This window comes from Homo sapiens, chromosome 13, assembly GCF_000001405.40.
Source record: "Homo sapiens chromosome 13, GRCh38.p14 Primary Assembly".
In the NCBI taxonomy this organism is placed as follows: domain Eukaryota; kingdom Metazoa; phylum Chordata; class Mammalia; order Primates; family Hominidae; genus Homo; species Homo sapiens.
The window spans coordinates 92,739,118-92,761,031 of record NC_000013.11 but is presented as its reverse complement, the minus strand read 5'-3'; the positions used below and the strand labels follow the sequence as shown (position 1 = coordinate 92,761,031).

General features: G+C 36.4%; 1 protein-coding gene across 2 annotated transcripts in view, besides 1 other annotated feature; it reads right to left on the bottom strand.

The window, feature by feature from the left end:
• The window catches only part of GPC5 (glypican 5), a 1,468,617-nt gene that overhangs the window by 106,206 nt on the left and 1,340,497 nt on the right, over positions 1–21,914 (bottom strand). Inside the window, exon 8 of one of the 2 annotated variants that reach the window (XM_017020435.3) lies at positions 9,799–11,068. The exons of the other annotated variant lie outside the window; for it this stretch is intronic. Coding sequence (XP_016875924.1) covers positions 10,932–11,068 — 137 coding nt within the window. The 3' untranslated portion in view covers positions 9,799–10,931. Of the gene's footprint in view, positions 1–9,798; positions 11,069–21,914 lie in introns of those variants that run through there. 2 annotated transcript variants of the gene reach the window in all.
• Positions 8,135–8,861: an enhancer, noted in NCBI's record as "NANOG-H3K27ac-H3K4me1 hESC enhancer chr13:93404424-93405150 (GRCh37/hg19 assembly coordinates)". NCBI's record gives its function as "activates a minimal SCP1, AML or CMV promoter by ChIP-STARR-seq in naive H9 embryonic stem cells {active_cell/tissue: H9 hESC(naive)}" and the evidence as "EXISTENCE:reporter gene assay evidence [ECO:0000049][PMID:30033119]".

Below are 21,914 nucleotides of genomic sequence, written 5' to 3'. Positions count from 1 at the left end.
TCTAAATCATATCAAGTATTATTTCTGACCACAATGGTATGAAACTAGAAATCTCTAAGAGGAAGAATTTTGGAAAATTCACAAATATGTGGAAATTAAACAATATGCTTCTGAACAATGAATGGGTCAAAGAAGAATTAAAAGGAAAAGTTTAAAATATATCTTGAAACAAACAATAATAGAAATGCAACAAATCAAAACCTATGGGATACAGCAAAAGCAGTTCTAAGGGGGAAGTTTATAGCAACAAATATATTAAGAAGAGCAATCTCAAATAAATAGTTTAATATTACACCTCAAAAAGCCAAAAAATAAAGATCAAACTAAACCCAAAGTCAGCAGAGGGAAGGCAATAATAAAAATCGAAACAAAAGTAAATCAAACAGATGAAAGAAAAATCATAGGAAAAAAATCAATAGAACAGATGGTTTTTGAAAAAAAAAATTGAAAAACTCTTAGCCAGAATAAAAAAAACAAGTCTTAAATATGTAAAATCAGAAATGAAGGTGGAGACACTACAACAGACACCACAGAAAAGAAAGGATCATAAGAGACTATTATGAAAAATTGCATGTGAAGATATTTGATAACCTAGATGAAATGAACAAATTCCTAGAAAAATACAATCTAACAAGGTTGAATAAGGAAGACATATAAATCTGAACAGTCCAATAACAAAGACATTAAAGTAATAATTAAAAACTTCTTGATAAAAGCACAAAATCAAATGGCATTAGGGCCTAATTCTACCAACCTTTCAAAGGAAAAGTGATACCAATATTTCTTTAACTCCTCCAAAGAAATACATTTGAAGCAAATACTTCCTAACAAATTTTGCAAGATCAGTATTACCTTCTTACCTAAACCAGACAAAGACACCATAAGAAAATAAACTATAGGCCAAATATCACTGATGAACATCAATGCAAAAATTCTCAATAAAAAAGATTGTCCATTACAAACAAGTGGCATTTAATCCTGGTATGCAAGACAGATTTAACATGTGCAAATCAGTCAATGTTATACATCACACTAATATATTGAAAAACAAAACCACACGATCATATCAATTGATGCAGAAAAAGCATTTACCAAAGTTTGACATCCTTTCTTGATAAAAACTCTTAACTGTTTAGGTGTAAAGGAAAGTTTCTCACTATAATAAAGGCTATTTATGAAGAACCCACAGATGACATCATAATCAATAAGGAGATACTGAAAACTTTTCTTCTAAGATCTGGTACAATGCATGAGGATGCTCATTTTCACCACTTCTATTCACCATAGTACTGGAAATACTATCAAGAGTAATTAGACAAGAAAAAGAAATAAAAGATATTTAAATCAGAAAGGAAAAATAAAAGTATCTGTATTTGCAGATGATATGAACCTATGTATAGAGAGCCCTAAAGACTCCACCAAAAAACTGTTCAACCCAATAAATTAATTCAGTGAAATTGCAGGACATAAAATCAACATATAAAAATCTATGGCATTTGTATAGACAAACAATGACTAGCCAAAAACAAATCAAGAAAACAATCTCATTTATCATAGTATAAAACATAATCAGGAATAAATTTAACCAAGTTGAAAAACTGAAAACTATAAAATGTTAATGAAAAAAAGGGAACACAAATTAATGGAAAGATATCCCATTGCTCCTGAATAAAAAAGTAGTGTCTTAAATGTTGATAATACATAAAGTAATATATAGATCCAATGCCATGCTTATCAAAATCCCAGTGGAATCTTCACAGAAATAGATAAAACAATCCAATAATTTGTATGAAACCATAAAGACCCTGAATAGCCAAGCAATTCTGAAAAAAAAAATGGAGGTATTACCCTTACTGATTTAAAATTATATTACACAGCTATCTATAGAAAGCAAATAGTATGGTACTGGCATAAAAACAGACAAACAGACCAGTGGACCAGTGGGATAGAGTAGAAAGTCCGGAAATAGTCCAAACATACATGGTCAACTAATATTATTTCATGACAGCACCAAAAAAAAAAAAAAAAAAAAAAAAACCGCAATGGGAAAAGGATATTCTCTGGAAAAACTGGATTTCCTCATCTGAAAATAAACCAATGAAATTGGACCCTTCTTTTACACCATACACAAAAATCAACTCAAAATGGATAAAAGACCTACATATGAGACTGGAAATCATAAAACTCCTAGATGAAAATATAGGCGAAATCCCCTTGACACTGGTCTTGGCAATGATTTCTTGGATATCACACAAAAAACTCAGGAAACACATTCCCATGTAATTTCTGAATTATTATTTTTTACAGGTAAAGGAGAAAACCATAACTTAATAAAACGAGAAGAGAAATGGGATTATTTTAAGGAGTATAATCTTGAAAATAAATATAAACACAAGTGACGTCAGCTCATCTTCTGGCTAAATGGCTATAACAGCCAAAGAATGGCCACTCTATGTTCAGATAAATTGTAATTCATAATTTTCGGCCCATGATAATAGTAATCACACATTTTTTCCCACATACTATATAACAGAAAATATTCTTTTTTTTATTATTATTATACTTTAAGTTTTAGGGTACATGTGCACATTGTGCAGGTTAGTTACATACGTATACATGTGCCATGCTGGTGCGCTGCACCCACTAACTCGTCATCTAGCATTAGGTATATCTCCCAAAGCTATCCCTCCCCCCACCCCACAACAGTCCCCAGAGTGTGATGTTCCCCTTCCTGTGTCCATGTGATCTCATTGTTCAATTCCCACCTATGAATGAGAATATGTGGTGTTTGGTTTTTTGTTCTTGCGATAGTTTACTGAGAATGATGATTTCCAATTTCATCCATGTCCCTACAAAGGACATGAACTCATCATTTTTTATGGCTGCATAGTATTCCATGGTGTATATGTGCCACATTTTCTTAATCCAGTCTATCATTGTTGGACATTTGGGTTGGTTCCAAGACTTTGCTATTGTGAATAGTGCCACAATAAACATACGTGTGCATGTGTCTTTATAGCAGCATGATTTATAGTCCTTTGGGTATATACCCAGGAATGGCATGGCTGGGTCAAATGGTATTTCCAGTTCTAGATCCCTGAGGAATCGCCACACTGACTTCCACAATGGTTGAACTAGTTTACAGTCCCACCAACAGTGTAAAAGTGTTCCTATTTCTCCACATCCTCTCCAGCACCTGTTGTTTCCTGACTTTATAATGATTGCCATTCTAACTGGTGTGAGATGGTATCTCATTGTGGTTTTAATTTGCGTTTCTCTGATGGCCAGTGATGATGAGCATTTTTTCATGTGTCTTTTGGCTGCATAAATGTCTTCTTTTGAGAAGTGTCTGTTCATGTCCTTTGCCCACTTTTTGATGGGGTTGTTTGTTTTTTTCTTGTAAATTTGTTTAAGTTCATTGTAGATTCTGGATATTAGCCCTTTTTCAGATGAGTAGGATGCAAAAATTTTCTCCCATTTTGTAGGTTGCCTGTTCACTCTGATGGTAGTTTCTTTTGCTGTACAGAAGCTCTTTAGTTTAATTAGATCCCATTTGTCAATTTTGGCTTCTGTTGCCATTGCTTTTGGTGTTTTAGACACGAAGTCCTTGCCCATGCCTATGTCCTGAATGGTATTGCCTAGGTTTTCTTCCATGGTTTTTATGGTTTTAGGTCTAACATTTAAGTCTTTAATCCATCTTGAATTGATTTTTGTATAAGGTGTAAGGAAGGGATCCAGTTTCAGCTTTCTACATATGGCTAGCCAGTTTTCCCAGCACCATTTATTAAATACGAATCCTTTCCCCATTTCTTGTTTTTGTCAGGTTTCTCAAAGATCAGATAGTTGTAGATATGCGGCGTTATTTCAGAGGGCTCTGTTCTGTTCCATTGATCTATATCTCTGTTTTGGTACCAGTACCATGCTGTTTTGGTTACTGTAGCCTTGTAGTATAGTTTGAAGTCAGGTAGTGTGATGCCTCCAGCTTTGTTCTTTTGGCTTAGGATTGACTTGGCAATGCGGGCTCTTTTTTGGTTCCATATGAACTTTAAAATAGTTTTTTCCAATTCTGTGAAGAAAGGCATTGGTAGCTTGATGGGGATGGCATTGAATCTATAAATTACCTTGGGCAGTATGGCCATTTTCACGATATTGATTCTTCCTACCCATGAGCATGGAATGTTCTTCCATTTGTTTGTATCCTCTTTTATTTCCTTGAGCAGTGATTTGTAGTTCTCCTTGAAGAGGTCCTTCACATCCCTTGTAAGTTGGATTCCTAGGTATTTTATTCTCTTTGAAGCAATTGTGAATGGGAGTTCACTCATGATTTGGCTCTCTGTTTGTCTGTTGTTGGTGTATAAGAATGCTTGTGATTTTTGTACATTGATTTTGTATCCTGAGACTTTGCTGAAGTTGCTTATCAGCTTAAGGAGATTTTGGGCTGAGACAATGGGGTTTTCTAGATATACAATCATGTCGTCTGCAAACAGGGACAATTTGACTTCCTGTTTTCCTAATTGAATACCCTTTATTTCATTCTCCTGCCTGATTGCCCTGGCCAGAACTTCCAACACTATGTTGAATAGGAGTGGTGAGAGAGGGCATCCCTGTCTTGTGCCAGTTTTCAAAGGGAATGCTTCCAGTTTTTGTCCATTCAGTATGATATTGGCTGTGGGTTTGTCATAGATAGCTCTTATTATTTTTAAATATGTCCCATCAATACCTAATTTATTGAGAGTTTTTAGCATGAAGGGTTGTTGAATTTTGTCAAAGGCCTTTTCTGCATCTATTGAGATAATCATGTGGTTTTTGTCTTTGGCTCTGTTTATATGCTGGATTACATTTATTGATTTGCATATAATGAACCAGCCTTGCATCCCAGGGATGAAGCCCACTTGATCATGGTGGATAAGCTTTTTGATGTGCTGCTGGATTCGTTTTGCCAGTATTTTATTGAGGATTTTTGCATCAATGTTCATCAAGGATATTGGTCTAAAACTCTCTTTTTTGGTTGTGTCTCTGCCAGGCTTTGGTATCAGAATGATGCTGGCCTCATAAAATGAGTTAGGGAGGATTCCCTCTTTTCCTATTGATTGGAATAGTTTCAGAAGGAATGGTACCAGTTCCTCCTTGTACCTCTGGTAGAATTCGGCTGTGAATCCATCTGGTCCTGGACTCTTTTTGGTTGGTAAGCTATTGATTATTGCCACAATTTCAGATCCTGTTATTGGTCTATTCAGAGATTCAACTTCTTCCTGGTTTAGTCTTGGGAGAGTGTATGTGTCGAGGAATTTATCCATTTCTTCTAGATTTTCTAGTTTATTTGCGTAGAGGTGTTTGTAGTATTCTCTGATGGTAGTTTGTATTTCTGTGGGATCGGTGGTGATATCCCCTTTATCATTTTTTATTGTGTCTATTTGATTCTTCTCTCTTTTTTTCTTTATTAGTCTTGCTAGCAGTCTATCTATTTTGTTGATCCTTTCAAAAAACCAGCTCCTGGATTCATTGATTTTTTGAAGGGTTTTTTGTGTCTCCATTGCCTTCAGTTCTGCTCTGATTTTAGTTATTTCTTGCCTTCTGCTAGCTTTTGAATGTGTTTGCTCTTGCTTTTCTAGTTCTTTTAATTGTGATGTTAGGGTATCAATTTTGGATCTTTCCTGCTTTCTCTTGTGGGCATTTAGTGCTATAAATTTCCCTCTACACACTGCTTTGAATGCGTCCCAGAGATTCTGGTATGTTGTGTCTTTGTTCTCGTTGGTTTCAAAGAACATCTTTATTTCTGCCTTCATTTCGTTATGTACCCAGTAGTCATTCAGGAGCAGGTTGTTCAGTTTCCATGTAGTTGAGCGGCTTTGAGTGAGATTCTTAATCCTGAGTTCTAGTTTGATTGCACTGTGGTCTGAGAGATAGTTTGTTATAATTTCTGTTCTTTTACATTTGCTGAGGAGAGCTTTACTTCCAAGTATGTGGTCAGTTTTGGAATAGGTGTGGTGTGGTGCTGAAAAAATGTATATTCTGTTGATTTGGGGTGGAGAGTTCTGTAGATGTGTGTTAGGTCCGCTTGGTGCAGAGCTGAGTTCAATTCCTGGGTATCCTTGTTGACTTTCTGTCTCGTTGATCTGTCTAATGTTGACAGTGGGGTGTTAAAGTCTCCCATTATTAATGTGTGGGAGTCTAAGTCTCTTTGTAGGTCACTCTGGACTTGCTTTATGAATCTGGGTGCTCCTGTATTGGGTGCATATATATTTAGGATAGTTAGCTCTTCTTGTTGAATTGATTCCTTTACCATTATGTAATGGCCTTCTTTGTCTCTTTTGATCTTTGTTGGTTTAAAATCTGTTTTATCAGAGACTAGGATTGCAACCCCTGCCTTTTTTTGTTTTCCATTTGCTTGGTAGATCTTCCTCCATCCTTTTATTTTGAGCCTATGTGTGTCTCTGCACGTGAGATGGGTTTCCTGAATACAGCACACTGTTGGGTCTTGACTCTTTATCCAATTTGCCAGTTTGTGTCTTTTAATTGGAGCATTTAGTCCATTTACATTTAAAGTTAATATTGTTATGTGTGAATTTGATCCTGTCATTATGATGTTAGCTGGTGATTTCGCTCATTAGTTGATGCAGTTTCTTCCTATTCTTGATGGTCTTTACATTTTGGCATGATTTTGCAGTAGTTGGTACCGTTTGTGCATTTCCATGTTTAGCGCTTCCTTCAGGAGCTCTTTTAGGGCAGGCCTGGTGGTGAGAAAATCTCTCAGCATTTGCTTGTCTGTAAAATATTTTATTTCTCCTTCACTTATGAAGCTTAGTTTGGCTGGATATGAAATTCTGGGTTGAAAATTCTTGTCTTTAAGAATGTTGAATATTGGCCCCCACTCTCTTCTGGCTTGTAGGGTTTCTGCCGAGAGATCCGCTGTTAGTCTGACGGGCTTCCATTTGAGGTTAACCCGACCTTTCTCTCTGGCTGCCTTTAACATTTTTTCCTTCATTTCAACTTTGGTGAATCTGACAATTATGTGTCTTGGAGTTGCTCTTCTTGAGGAGTATCTTTGTGGCGTTCTCTGTATTTCCTGAATCTGAACGTTGGCCTGCTTGCTAGATTGGGGAAGTTCTCCTGGATAATATCCTGCAGAGTGTTTTCCAACTTGGTTCCATTCTCCCTGTCACTTTCAGGTATACCAATCAGACGTAGATTTGGTCTTTTCACATAGTCCCATATTTCTTGGAGGCTTTGCTCATTTCTTTTTATTCTTTTTTTTTCTAAACTTCCCTTCTCGCTTCATTTCATTCATTTCATCTTCCATTGCTGATACCTTTCTTCCAGTTGATCGCATCGGCTCCTGAGGTTTCTGCATTCTTCACGTAGTTCTCGAGCCTTGGTTTTCAGCTCCATCAGCTCCTTTAAGCACTTCTTTGTATTGGTTATTCTAGTTATACATTCTTCTAAATTTTTTTCAAAGTTTTCAACTTCTTTGCCTTTGGTTTGAATGTCCTCCCATAGCTCAGAGTAATTTGATCGTCTGAAGCCTTCTTCTCTCAGCTCATCAAAGTCATTCTCCGTCCAGCTTTGTTCCCTTGCTGGTGAGGAACTGCATTCCTTTGGAGGAGGAGAGGTGCTCTGCTCTTTAGAGTTTCCAGTTTTTCTGTTCTGTTTTTTCCCCATCTTTGTGGTTTTATCTACTTTTGGTCTTTGATGATGGTGATGTACAGATGGGTTTTTGGTGTGGATGTCCTTTCTGTTTTCCTTCTAACAGACAGGACCCTCAGCTGCAGGTCTGTTGGAGTACCCTGCCGTGTGAGGTGTCAGTGTGCCCCTGCTGGGGGGTGCCTCCCAGTTAGGCTGCTCGGGGGTCAGGGGTCAGGGACCCACTTTAGGAGGCAGTCTGCCCATTCTCAGATCTCCAGCTGAGTGCTGGGAGAACCACTGCTCTCTTCAAAGCTGTCAGAGGGACATTTAAGTCTGCAGAGGTTACTGCTGTCTTTTTGTTTGTCTGTGCCCTGCCCCCAGAGGTGGAGCCTACAGAGGCAGGCAGGCCTCCCTGAGCTGTGGTGGGCTCCACCCAGTTCGAGCTTCCTGGCTGCTTTGTTTGCCTAAGCAAGCCTGGGCAATGGTATGCGCCCCTCCCCCAGCCTCACTGCCGCCTTGCAGTTTGATCTCAGACTGCTGTGCTAGCAATCAGCGAGACTCCCTGGGCGTAGGTCCCTCCGAGCCAGGTGCAGGATATAATCTCGTGGTGCGCTGTTTTTTAAGCCCGTTGGAAAAGTGCAGTATTCGGGTGGAAGTGACCCGATTTTCCAGGTGCCCTCCGTCACCCCTTTCTTTGACTAGGAAAGGGAACTCCCTGACCCCTTGCGCTTCCCGAATGAGGCAATGCCTCACCCTGCTTCAGCTCGCGCACGGTGCGCGCACCCACTGACCTGCGCCCACTGTCTGGCACTCCCTAGTGAGATGAACCCGGTACCTCAGATGGAAATGCAGAAATCACCCGTCTTCTGCGTCGCTCACGCTGGGAGCTGTAGACCGGAGCTATTCCTATTCGGCCATCTTGGCTCCTCCCCCCATCCAGAAAATATTCTTAGCACTCTTTTTTACCTTTACAACAATTCCATCAACTTAGTGCAATTACTATTTCCATTGTCTCTACAAGCAATGGGAAAAATCAGAAATTAGGCTAATTTTACTCTAAAGCATTGGTTCTGAAGAGGACCAGAGCATTTTGTCCCCCAGGGATCATTTGTCAATGTCTGGAGATACTTTGGATTGTCACAAAACTGTGGGAGAAGCAGTGTGGATGACATCTAGTTGGTAGAAGTCAGGGATAGGGCTAAACTTCCTGCAAAGCACAGGACACTGTGACGCAAATGCTAACACACACACGGACACACTCCACGTATTTGTTTCGAAATGTCAGTATGGTAATGCCAAGTTTGAGAAACTCTGCTCTAGAGTTCTTGCTTTTTTTTTTTTTCAAGGTTCTCATTCCTCTTTATTTAAATCTGTAAAGCAAAGTGGCAAATTAAAACAGATACTATTATATTCAATTCATAACATAATTAGATACAAATGAAAACTTTTTTTTACAAGGTAACAAAGTAACTGAAAACGAGTAGATCCAGCGCAAGTGAAACAATGTAACCATCTTGAGGCAATAACCTAGTTGGCCACTGTTGTGAAAACGGAAAATGGGAGAAACACATAGATTGACTTAACTATGGGGCTGCAAACTTAATGTTTTAAGTCATGTCCCTCATACGCTAAGTATTGAAGTGTTTTTATTTTTTATTTTTTTTTATACTTTAAGTTCTAGGGTACATGTGCACAACGTGCAGGTTTGTTACATATGTATACATGTGCCATGTTGCTGTGCTGCACCCATTAACTCGTCATTTACATTAGGTATATCTTCTACTGCTATCCCTCCCCCCTCCCCCAACCCCACAACAGGCCCTGGTGTGTGATGTTCCCCACTGCACAATTTAGAAGGACCAAGACTCATGTGTTACCGAAAGGTACTTGATGTATAAGTGCAGCTGCTGCTAATGAACTCATTCATCTCTGCTTTGAGCTGGAGAATTCTTCCTGCATTTGTTGGACTGGCACATTCCAAGACTTGCTTCTTTAAGTTAATTGTGCATCTTAATTCTAGATTCCAGAACTGGAGAAACTTAGAACAAAATAAGATTTTATGAGGTTGGAAGGTTTTTTTTTTTTTTTTTTTTTTTTTTTTTTTTAAATGTTTCTGGATGACCAAAGGTTTTCTCCAAAACTGTTCTTACGTAGGTACCTTTTCAAATGTTTCCACACATTGTCACAGGCAAAAAACAATTTTCTTTCTCTAGTTCAGTCTTTGGAAAGCCTTAGCTCCCAGTTGGTAGAAAATGTCTACATCTTAAATTGGACTTCTAATAAAGGATGAATTGTGTTATGGTTTAGTAAAAAGGTTTATATATATCAATTTTTCATGAACAGTACATTTTGTGCCTCATTATACACTAGAGGTGCTGTTTTATACTACAAGCATGCCTATTTTAAACAATGGATGAAAATAAAAATCCTAGAACAATGTACGTGATAACAATTTTCCTCATTCTTTTTTGTTTCTATAGAAATGCTTTTAGTGTGGGAGTGTTATGGATATAGCACTGTTGAAGGCCAGAAAACATACATATCATACTTGACTATAAACAAAAAACATGATGGGTTAGCTAATAGCTCAGGTCTCTGAGAGGGAAGATACAATTACATGACTCTCCACGCAGCCTTTGCATTGTTTTGAAGTTTGTGCTTAACTCAGAATGAACTGAATTTAAGAATTAACCCTCTTTTGGATGACAGGTTAAATTCTGAGCCTGAATTATTAACATACAAGTGTAGAAAATAGTGTAACTACCAGGAGTAGGGCATTCAATCAGTAGCTGAGAGCTCTAAGGAAGTACAGACGGGAGATAATTCATAAGGACAATTTCCTTTTCTGTACACTAGAAGTTGATAGCTGCACATAATCTATTTTCTTTTTTCTTATGCCTCTTCAGGCTTATTGTCCTCTCATTTTCTCCTTTTTCTGCCCTGTTTTTCATTTTTTTTCTTTTCCTCTTCCAGCATTGTCTTTTCTCTTCAATAATAGTATTTTAAGAAGATTTAACCCCAAAACGGAAAACAGAATGATAGAGTTCACTTATATATAATGAAATTTACATAAAATATCAAGAGAGACAAGACAAAAATGTGCATATTTCTGTAGAGTATCATCACAGATTGAAGACATAATCAGTTTTCTTACAGTTTACAAAATGATTGCGAGAAAACTTTTTTTTCTAGAGTCTTGGGAATTAGCATTAATAGGACTCTACCTTTTATGACTTCTCACACAGTGTGAGAAAAATAGGCTTAAAATATTAAATATTCAAAAATTGAAAACATCATTATGCAGACACTTATTCAAATGCTCCATTAGGAGTATTCTTGTTCAGCCTACCTTTTCTGTCTGTGGGTAGAACTGGAAAAATATTCAGTCCAACTTCATTACTGGTGGCAGTTATCAAGCTGCATAGCTCAGTGAACCAGCCTCTGGCTGGGAGAGAAACAGTTTGGTTCAGATACTTCTACTATAACATTCCCATTGATTTTAGTGTGCAGAGAAGTTTGCCCTCTAATTTTTTGCAACTCCCTATTTTGTTCATTCATGACCATGACAAAGATAAGCTACATTCTCTGAATAAGTCTTTTCTTTTTAATTTTAATTGTACAAATTAGCGGGTCTATGAACTGTAGATGTCTTTCAGCATAACTACAAATTGTTGTACTCTCCATTCATGCACCTCCTGCATTTTATTGAATTAAAATTATAGTAGATATGCAATTGAAAGATGTTATGGAAAACCATGTGTCAGGCAACAGAAGCATATTATTATTGATGTGTACTCATATATACTTTAAAAACATTAAAAAGGTTTGTCAGAATCAATCACCTCCATCGTCTTAATAATCACATTTAAATGATATATTCATTTAATTCCATCAAAAAATCAAACAGAATACTATCAATATAACTAGCCATTTTACAGTTATTGTGAAACATAAAATAGCATACTTTTTTTTCCGGATGAACTATTTTCTCATAATCACAAACAATGAAAGTTTATTGTATATAGTGACTTTTATGTAGTCATTAATACAACATGATTTACCAAACTTCAACCTATATTAAAAATACCTAGCAATGATGTAAAACATTATATTATACATAATATATTGAAAAAATGGCTCAATTAATTGCTAAAATATGCTTTTTAAGCAATAAGCAAACTCTGCCAAATTTGTTTGGATTTTACCTATTTCGTCTAAATAAGCTATGTTATTAATTTTGGTTTCCTGGTGACACTTAAAAATCCACTAAGTACATTAAAATATCTGAGAATGTAAGAGTAGTCCCAGAGTAGATCAGTGTATTCTTGTCTGGCCAAGAACTCCAAAATATATCTTGAATGGTACCTACAAACAATGATTCAAGTGCTCTAAAACTGTTTCTGAAAAGTAGATACAGAACTGAAGTGTTAAACACAGAAACTGATATTCTTTTGATTAAAGTGGTATTCACAATTTCATTAGAAAAGATAAAATCAAGATTCTCATAACTTGTATTCATTCATCCCTTTTCATCCATACACTAAAGCATTCAGCAAATAATTAAATGTCTACTCCAGAGAAATAATGTATGAGGTGCTTAAAATTGTATCATATTTATAAATGTAATGCAGAAAAAGGATATTTCTATTAACAATTAAAAAAAGGAGTATTCATTTTAAATAAAAATGTACTTCAAAGTAAGCTCTTTATATTTTAAACAAAAAACAACTATTTGTATATGTTTAAGTGTTCTCAGGCTTCAGAAAAATTATTTAGAATAAAATGACAGGCCAGGTGCCGTGGCTCACACCTGTAATCCCAGCACTTTGGGAGGCCGAGGCAGGTGGATCACAAGGTCAGGAGTTCAAGACCAGCCTGGCCAAGATGGTGAAACCCCGTCTCTACAAAAAAATTACAAACAATTAGCAGGGCGCCTGTAATACCAGCTACTCAGGAGGCTGAGGCAGAGAATTGCTTAACCTGGGAGGCAGAGGTTGCAGTGAGCCGAGATCATGCCACTGCACTCCAGCCTGGGTGACAGAGCGAGACTCCATCTCAAAATAATAATAATAATAATAATAATAATAATAATAATAAAATAAAATGCAGATGTCAGTTTCTCCATGTTTTTAGTCCAAAATAATCTTTGTCTTACATTATTACTACTTTAATTATTATGATGTATATCAAACTACCGTAAGTACTGAGTTCATACTCCATGATTTAAACTCAGGGACAAACTGGCAACATACTATTTTTCATTCACCATTTTTAGACCTGTTTCTTGTAGTCTTATAAGGTAGATCAGTAAAGCATATCATATTAAAACTTATTTTCAACAAGAACCCTTTTTTGCATATTCATATAATTCACAGACTACCTCAGGCCATCATCGTTTGGGTTATTCAAAGAAAACTGACGTTATTAAATGTACATATATATGTATAATTTTTAACTGTGGAAAATAATCTGCAGTCAAAGTGGCTTTACATCTTATGTATGATATCACTGGCATATATTTTGGTTGAGCTACAAGCTTCTAAAAAGGATTTATAGCAGAAATGCTTATAACCTCTTAAGTATGGCACTGGGAACAGCAATATGATAATATATTGTAGCAGTAAATGCCCAATCAATAGCAGCTCATTAAAGTCAGAAGCATCAATTTAATCAGGGAGAATCTACATGTTTTCAATGGTCAGTGGAAGGTCTTGTCCATCAATGTCTAGTTCAATTCTTAGGTTGCATCTGACAAGTTACAATGGGTTTCGTTAAGAGACTTGTGTGCAAGCTAATGTGGAGGCAATTTGTCATTTTAATATATGATCAATACAATCCATAACCAGTATTCAGACTCATTTACTAAAGGAGAGAGGAGGAGGTCAATGCATACCCCCAGTGACTTGCTTATTATTTTCCACAGTTTTCACTCATGCTCTCTCCTTAAAACATAAAATGACTTCTCTTTCTACAAGATAAAACTAAATATAACCACTCATTGGCTGAAGTAAACTGTTATGGATTTGTTCTCTGATTTTTTTTCTTATTAATTTCTTTTATCTCTGGCTTAAAGGAATAATGCAAGAGAATACCACTGGTCTTAAGCAATGACAATGCTTTAAGTCCTTTAAAACGATTTCCTCATCTGTAAAATGGGGATAAAATAACTTACCTTGTGCATATAGAGCACAAATAACCGTTAGGCCAATTTACAAAAATACTAAAAATGGATATGTCAGTGGGGAATATTCAATTCATGTATGGTCATGCACCACATAATGACGCTTTGGCTAACAATGGGCCACATATATGATAGTGGTCCCATAAGATTGTATAACTGTACCTTTACTGTACCTTTTCCATGTTTAGATACACAAATACCATTGTGTTACAATTGCCTGCGCTATGTAATGTAGTAACTTGCTGTATAGGTATGCATCCTAGGAGGAATAAGCTATACCATATACTTAAGTGTGCAATAGGTTACATCACCTAGGTTTGTGTAAGTACACTCTATAATGCTCACACATGACAAAATTGCCTAATGATGCATTTGTCAGAAAGTATCCCTGTTACCTAGCAAAGCATGACTGTATATGTTAATGAATCAAGGAGCCAAATCCTTCTATTTGTGAGAGTTTGAGATATCAATAAAGTTAAGAGATAAATACCTTTGTTTACATGAATGTTACCCACATCAGGATATTGTGTTGTCCTTAAAAATCTACGAAATCTATGAAGTTAAGGCCACTTCATAAAGTGTCATTAAACAATATTGTAAACTCTGATGAAGTTCAAAATGTATCTTGTGGTTTTTGATAGACACATTGGGTATTAGTGTTATCTTATGCAAACAGAAGGCAGACAGAGAAACCTGTATTAATTCCTTTGCATTGAGAGGCACCTACAGAGGGACTACTGAGAAGATGCATCATGCTCATGATTATTTACTGCAGGAATCACTTAGAATAAAATGCAACTAAAAATGAAACAGATGTAGGTGGTTCTAAAGAAAATATTGTTAATTCTCTAAATTTCCAAAAACCTTTCCTTATTACTTGAAAAGTCTCACTTGAAATTGTAGTGAACAAGATATATTTTGAAGTTGGTTGGCTTTGCAGAAAGACTGAAGCCAGAAATGATTTAATAATTAAAATTTTTAATGAAAATTGAGGTATCCCTTTGAAGCACCTTTTATAAAGCTACTTTACTGGCTTGGATTCATTCTTTTGCTCTTACCAAGTTAGATGTACAGCTGAATACTCCATTTTGAGGGAATGACTAGACGACAGGATGGGGCCCAATCTTACAGGTTTTGTTGGACTGGTTAAAATGAATATTCAAGAATGTGGGATTCACAAAAACAACTGATTAGATATAGCTAATTGATTAAATGTGTTTTCTGAAGGCTTGTGTTCATGAGTAAATTTTCCTTTAGAAACCTTTAATGCTTGAGCTCAAATTTATCGATAATACAATTCCATAAAAAGGAAAAAGAATAAATCATGTTATCCAATAATATAAGAAATGACTTAGTGAAAGCTACATAGAAAGTGAATTTTATGTTTAACTTGACATTTACAGAATCCATGTAGAGATGAAACTAATGTGATTTTGAAAATTTATTAGTTTCGAAATTTTGAAAAAAATGATTAGTATTTTACTTGTTAAATAATTAGCCTGGAGAATTTTAGAATTGCCTATTACTATTCTGGAATACCAAGAGCTAAGAACCTTATATTCATGATCAATGAAGTGAATAATAGTGGTAAGCAAGACTAGACAAGGACTTATAAGTAAATGCTATTTTACCCTAATGACCAGAGGACTCAGCTTGTTCAGAAAGGCAATGCCATCTGGAGTAGCAAGCTGGCTGGAGGGAAGGTTTCAGAACAATGCCAAGTATCTATAAAACATGGGAGTCCAAATTATGAGGAAAAGAAACATGCAATTATTTCAGAACTAAGCTTTACCAAGGGACCTTCTGTACCAGTGATTCCATAGGAATGGAATTCAAAAAAATTGTTTAGATGTGATGTAACATTTTCAAAAGTGCCAGGTGTGCTGTAGAAATGCACCCAGTGTGTTGGAAGTATCAGTGATGCTAAAATACAAAGAATTTGTGTTTTTTTGCTATGAGCATCTCAAAGCATGAATCATCATTTAGAAAATTTCCAAAAAGTAAAAAGACCCAAATTGTGTTTATATTGAACTAACAAAGTTCTGAATTGCTTTATACAAATTTTCCCATGTATATAACCAAAATATGAAATTTTGGGCTAAAATTTGAAAATGAATCCCAAATGTCAAAATGTTTTAAACAAATAAAGCATTCTAAATATTTCAATATATTATCACTCAAAATTTTTTATAATTTTACAGTTATTGATATGAATTATTATTACACATCAGAGGACACAATAAGGACTAGAGAAGGCAAGTCTCAGGTAACTTGCAGTACAAAATGAGGCAGTGGTAAACACAGTTATAAAGTCATCAACATGTATGAGGACATACAGTGGAATGGGTATCTCTGTCTACCTATCTATCCATCTGGCCATCTTTTAGTATAGCTATATATCTATATAAACTTACACTATATTTTCATCTAACTCAAAGGTTTGCTATAGTCAGAATTAGGCTTATTCTCTTCCCTAGATAATTCCTCACTCCCATCACCCACTGCTATAATTATGCTGCCATAAATTTTCAATTAGCGTTATTTCATCACTTTAATTGATTCCTTCAATATCTTTATTACTTTCAGTTTCTAAACATCACCTTATGGATCCCAGTTTTGCTCATTATCCTATCTCCTTGGCAGTTTCTTTTTAGATACCTCTGTGTGCTCCTGATACCTTTGTATTCTTAGGGTTCTATCTCATGTTCTGGTTTTTTTTTTTTTCCTGTATAGTCTTCCTAAAGTCAGTCTCATCTCCTGCTAAGACCTACATAACTATTTAAATTATATCAATTCCATAATCTTCAGCCTTGATCTCTTTCCTCAGTTCCAAATCGCTCTTATACCAGTCCAGTGATTACCTTCTATTGAATGGTTATAAACATCCTTCATGCCACATATCCAAAGGAATCTCATTACTTTTTCTCTCAGATATACTCCTGCTCTCACTTTCCCTATCTTGTAGATTTCAGCTCTATGTACATATTTTTTTTTTCCAAACCAGAAGGCTAAATGCTATTGCATCATTCTTCTCCATTCTCACATCTAAGCAATTACCAAATCCAGTGAACTTACTTTTGAAACCTCTCTGTCTACTTTCTATCTCACTGCCAGTAATCTAGAGGAGATGACCCTAATCTCTTTCCTGGGTTTTTGGTTTGTTGCAATTCCCTTCCCAATTCTTTGGATCCTCCCTGCCACTCCACCGCTGCCACCATTTTACTCACTGCACTGAGGCCAGGGATATTTATCAACTGCAAATTAGATCATGTTTCTCCTCTGTTTAAAGCTCTCTCCTTAAAGGACAGTGCAAGGCTGGTTCAACATATGCAAATCAATAAACGTAATCCAGCATATAAACAGAACCAAAGACAAAAACCACATGATTATCTCGATAGATGCAGAAAAGGCCTTTGACAAAATTCAACAGCCTTCATGTTAAAAACTCTCAATAAATTAGGTATTGATGGGACGAATATCAAAATAATAAGAGCTATTTATGAGAAACCCACAGCCAATATCATACTGAATGGACAAAAACTGGAAGCATTCTCTTTGAAAACTGGCACAAGACAGAGATGCCGTCTCTCACCACTCCTATTCAACATAGTGTTGGAAGTTCTGGCCAGGGCAATCAGGCAGGAGAAAGAAATAAAGGGTATTCAATTAGGAAAAGAGGAAGTCAAATTGTCCCCATTTGCAGATGACATGATTGTATATCTAGAAAACCCCATCGTCTCAGCCCAAAATCTCCTTAAGCTGCTAGGCAACTTCAGCAAAGTCTCAGGATACAAAATCAATGTGCAAAAATCACAAGCATTCTAATACACCAATAACAGACAAACAGAGAGCCAAATCATGAGTGAACTCCCATTCACAATTGCTTCAAAGAGAATAAAATACCTAGGAATCCAACTTACAAGGGATGTGAAGGACCTCTTCAAGGAGAACTACAAACCACTGCTCAATGAAATAAAAGAGGATACAAGTAAATGGAAGAACATTTCATGCTCATGGATAGGAAGAATCAATATCGTGAAAATGGCCATACTGCCCTAGGTAATTTAGAGATTCAATGCCATCCCTATCAAGCTAGCAATGACTTTCTTCACAGAATTGAAAAAAAAAACTACTTTAAAGTTCATGTGGAACCAAAAAAGAGCCTGCATCGCCAAGTCAATCCTAAGCCAAAAGAACAAAGCTGGAGGCATCACCCTACCTGACTTCAAACTATGCTACAAGGCTACAGTAATGAAAACAGCATGGTACTGGTACCAAAACAGAGATATAGATCAATGGAACAGAACAGAGCCCTCAGAAATAATGCCATACATCTACAACTATCTGATCTTTGACAAACCTGACAAAAACAAGAAATGGGGAAAGGATTCCCTATTTAATAAATGGTGCTGGGAAAACTGGCTAGCCATATGTAGAAAGCTGAAACTGGATCCCTTCCTTACACCTTATACAAAAATTAATTCAAGATGGATTAAAGACTTAAATGTCAGACCTAAACCCATAAAAACCCTGGAAGAAAACCTAGGTAATACCATTCAGGACATAGGCATGGGCAAGGACTTCGTGTCTAAAACACCAAAAGCAATGGCAACAAAGGCCAAAATTGACAAATGGGATCTAATTAAACTAAAGAGCTTCTGCACAGCAAAAGAAACTACCGTCAGAGTGAACAGGCAACCTACAACATGGGAGAAAATTTTTGCAATCTACTCATCTGACAAAGGGCTAATATCCAGAATCTACAAAGAACTCAAATTTACAAGAAAAAAACAAACAACCCCATGAAAAAGTGGGCAAAGGATATGAATAGACACTTCTCAAAAGAAGACATTTATGCAGCCAAAAGACACATGAAAAAATGCTCACCATCACTGGCCATCAGAGAAACACAAATCAAAACCACAATGAGATACCATCTCACACCAGTTAGAATGGCAATCATTAAAAAGTCAGGAAACAACAGGTGCTGGAGAGGATGTGGAGAAATAGGAACACTTTTACACTGTTGGTGGGACTGTAAACTAGTTCAACCATTGTGGAAGTCAGTGTGGCGATTCCTCAGGGATCTAGAACTAGAAATACCATTTGACCCAGCCATCCCATTACTGGGTATATACCCAAAGGACTATAAATCATGCTGCTATAAAGACACATGCACACGTATGTTTATTGTGGCAGTATTCACAATAGCAAAGACTTGGAACCAACCCAAATGTCCAACAATGATAGACTGGATTAAGAAAATGTGGCACATATACACCATGGAATACTATGCAGCCATAAAAAGGATGGGTTCATGTCCTTTGTAGGGACGTGGATGAAGCTGGAAACCATCATTCTCAGCAAACTATCTCAAGGAAAAAAACCAAACACCGCGTGTTCTTACTCATAGGCGGGAATTGAACAATGAGAACACTTGGACACAGGAAGGGGAACATCACACACCGGGGCCTGCTGTGGTGTAGGGGGAGAGGGGAGGGATAGCATTAGGAGATATACCTAATGTAAATGACGAGTTAATGGGTGCAGCACAGCAACATGGCACATGTATACATATGTAACAAACCTGCATATTGTGCACATGTACCCTAAAACTTAAAGTATAATAAAAAACAAAAAATATTTTAGCTTGGTATGTTTACTCCTAAAGTTGCCTTCCATTATTAATGCACTGTTTCAACCTGTTTTCTGGATAATTATAAACTGGATAATTTCTAAAGAAAAAGAATGGATTTCTTATAGTTATGAAGGCTGAGAAGGCCAAGTTTGAGGAGGCACATCTTATGAAAGCCTCCTTGTTCATGGGGACTCTCTGCAGAGTCCCAGGAAAGCTCAGAGCCTCCCACGGCAAAGGGTCTGCCTGAATACATTAATGTGATTGCTCAATTCTCTCTTCCTTGACTTATAAAGCAACCAGTTCCGCTCCCATGATAATCCATTAATCTATTAATCAATTACATTTTGGTTTTCTAAACATCACCTCATGAATGCCCGTTCTGCTTGCTATTCTACATGCTTGGCAAAGTCCTCATGATACAATCACCCCTTAAAGGCCTTTCAATACTGACACACTGGGGATTACATTTCCAACATACATTTGAAATTTGGGGGGCACATTCAAACCATAGCATGCACCAACATTTTACTGAATGCCTACCAGGTAGAAGGAATAATCTTAAGTAGAAATGTAAATAAGTAGAGACCTTTATCTTTGAAGATCATATGCTACAGCAGGATATATATATACACATACATATATATACACACATACATGCATACATATGCACATATATATATATATATATATATAAATAAATAAATATACATACATACATAAATATAATTTGTTATTTGGGCTACTTTTCCCCCAATATATTCTACCTGCTTCTTTTCTTTCCTAATCATCCTACCCCTTGCTTTAGAAAAAATACATCAGCCATTATTTCCTCAATACTTTCCTACCTTGGTTCTTTGCTTATTATGTGCTTGAAATTCCCCACAATCTCCATGTGTAGACATCCTACCAAACTTTTAGAAGTAGTTCAAAGCCATCCATGAAGAAGTCTTCCTGGTACTTTTAGCCATTTTAGCACTATTACAAAGATCAGTAGACCTGTATCTTACTAATAATTTAGTTATTTAATGCTCAACATGTTCTATACATACCAAGCACTTGATATCTGCTCATGTTCATCTAATCAGCAAACATGCAATAAGTTCCTACTGCATGTTAGGCTCTATTTCACAATTGGACAGTAGCTAAGAACACGGTAACAAAATATCTGCCAAGCCCAACTCACCTTATAGATGTAAAGTGCATGAGAGAGACAAAAGCAAATGAACAGCTATTTAATATTTATTTATTCAATTGATAAATGTTGCTGAGAAAAATCAGAGGACAGAATAATAGGAAGTGCCAAAGTGCATGGTGCTTCATTTATGTAAGTGGTAAAGGGGAGTCTTACTAATAAGGTGATATTTGATCCAGAAACCTAAAGAAAGTGGGAGGGTGGGCTCAGAATACCTGAAGAAGAGAGTGTGAGGCAGAGGGTACACCAACTGCAAATGCCCCGAGAAGGGAGGAGGCTTGGCATGTTTGAGGACCAGCAAAGGACCAATACAACTGGAGGAGAAGAGGATAGGGAAGGAAGGTTATAGGAAACAAGTGCTGAGGGCTTCCAGAGGGGCCAATGGGCTGTACTGAGGTAAATAATATGGAAGTCACTGGTGACTTTGATGATAGTGAGGAGGAAGCTTAAATTTTGTGGGTTCTGAAAATGAATTAGGGAAGGAAAAATGAAAAGAACAACAACTCCTACAAATAGCTCTTTCTAGTGTTTTTTTGTTTGTTTTGTTTTTGTTCTTTGTCTGAGGGAAGCAGAAAAGTAGACCAGAAACTAAAGAGGAATGTTGGATCAAGGGACTATTCTTTTTTCAATTTGGTTGTTTTTCTCTCTCATTGTCTCTCTCTCTCTCTCTTTTTTTTTCTTTTTTTTTTTAAGATGGGAGTAATAACAGCAATCCTAGGGATGTTGCAGAAGAGAAAGAAAAATTGATGTTGCTGAAGAGAGATGACGTAATGATAGTTTGAAAAGGTGAGAGAAAATGGGCTTTAGATCACAATTTTGATAAGATTGTGTTCAGTTTATTCAAAGAAACACAGAAACCAGAGCTTGTGGGACCAGATGGGCAGATGTGATGCAAGCTTGCAGAAAGGCTTGTTCAATTGCTCATCTTTGTTGAATGATCTGAGAGCATGTTTACAATTCTGTGCCTTTCTTTACATTAATGAAAAACAGAACTTATCAGCAACTATCATGGGCAGCCTCTACCTTTACATTGTTCCTCATGCTCTTCATGGCTTTAGGTCAATGTTTGTTTATCCTTATCGAATTGAATTTATTTCTAATTTTCACTTTAAATTTCTAGCTCTGTTCAGGCACACCAATTTGTCAAATACAAATTTAAAATGGACAATGAATACTCTGAAATATCTTGAATTTATTTTATGTGTATCACCTTGCTAAAAACATATAGAGACATATGTTTATATATAAATAAGAAAGACATTGTATGTGTACTTAGAAGT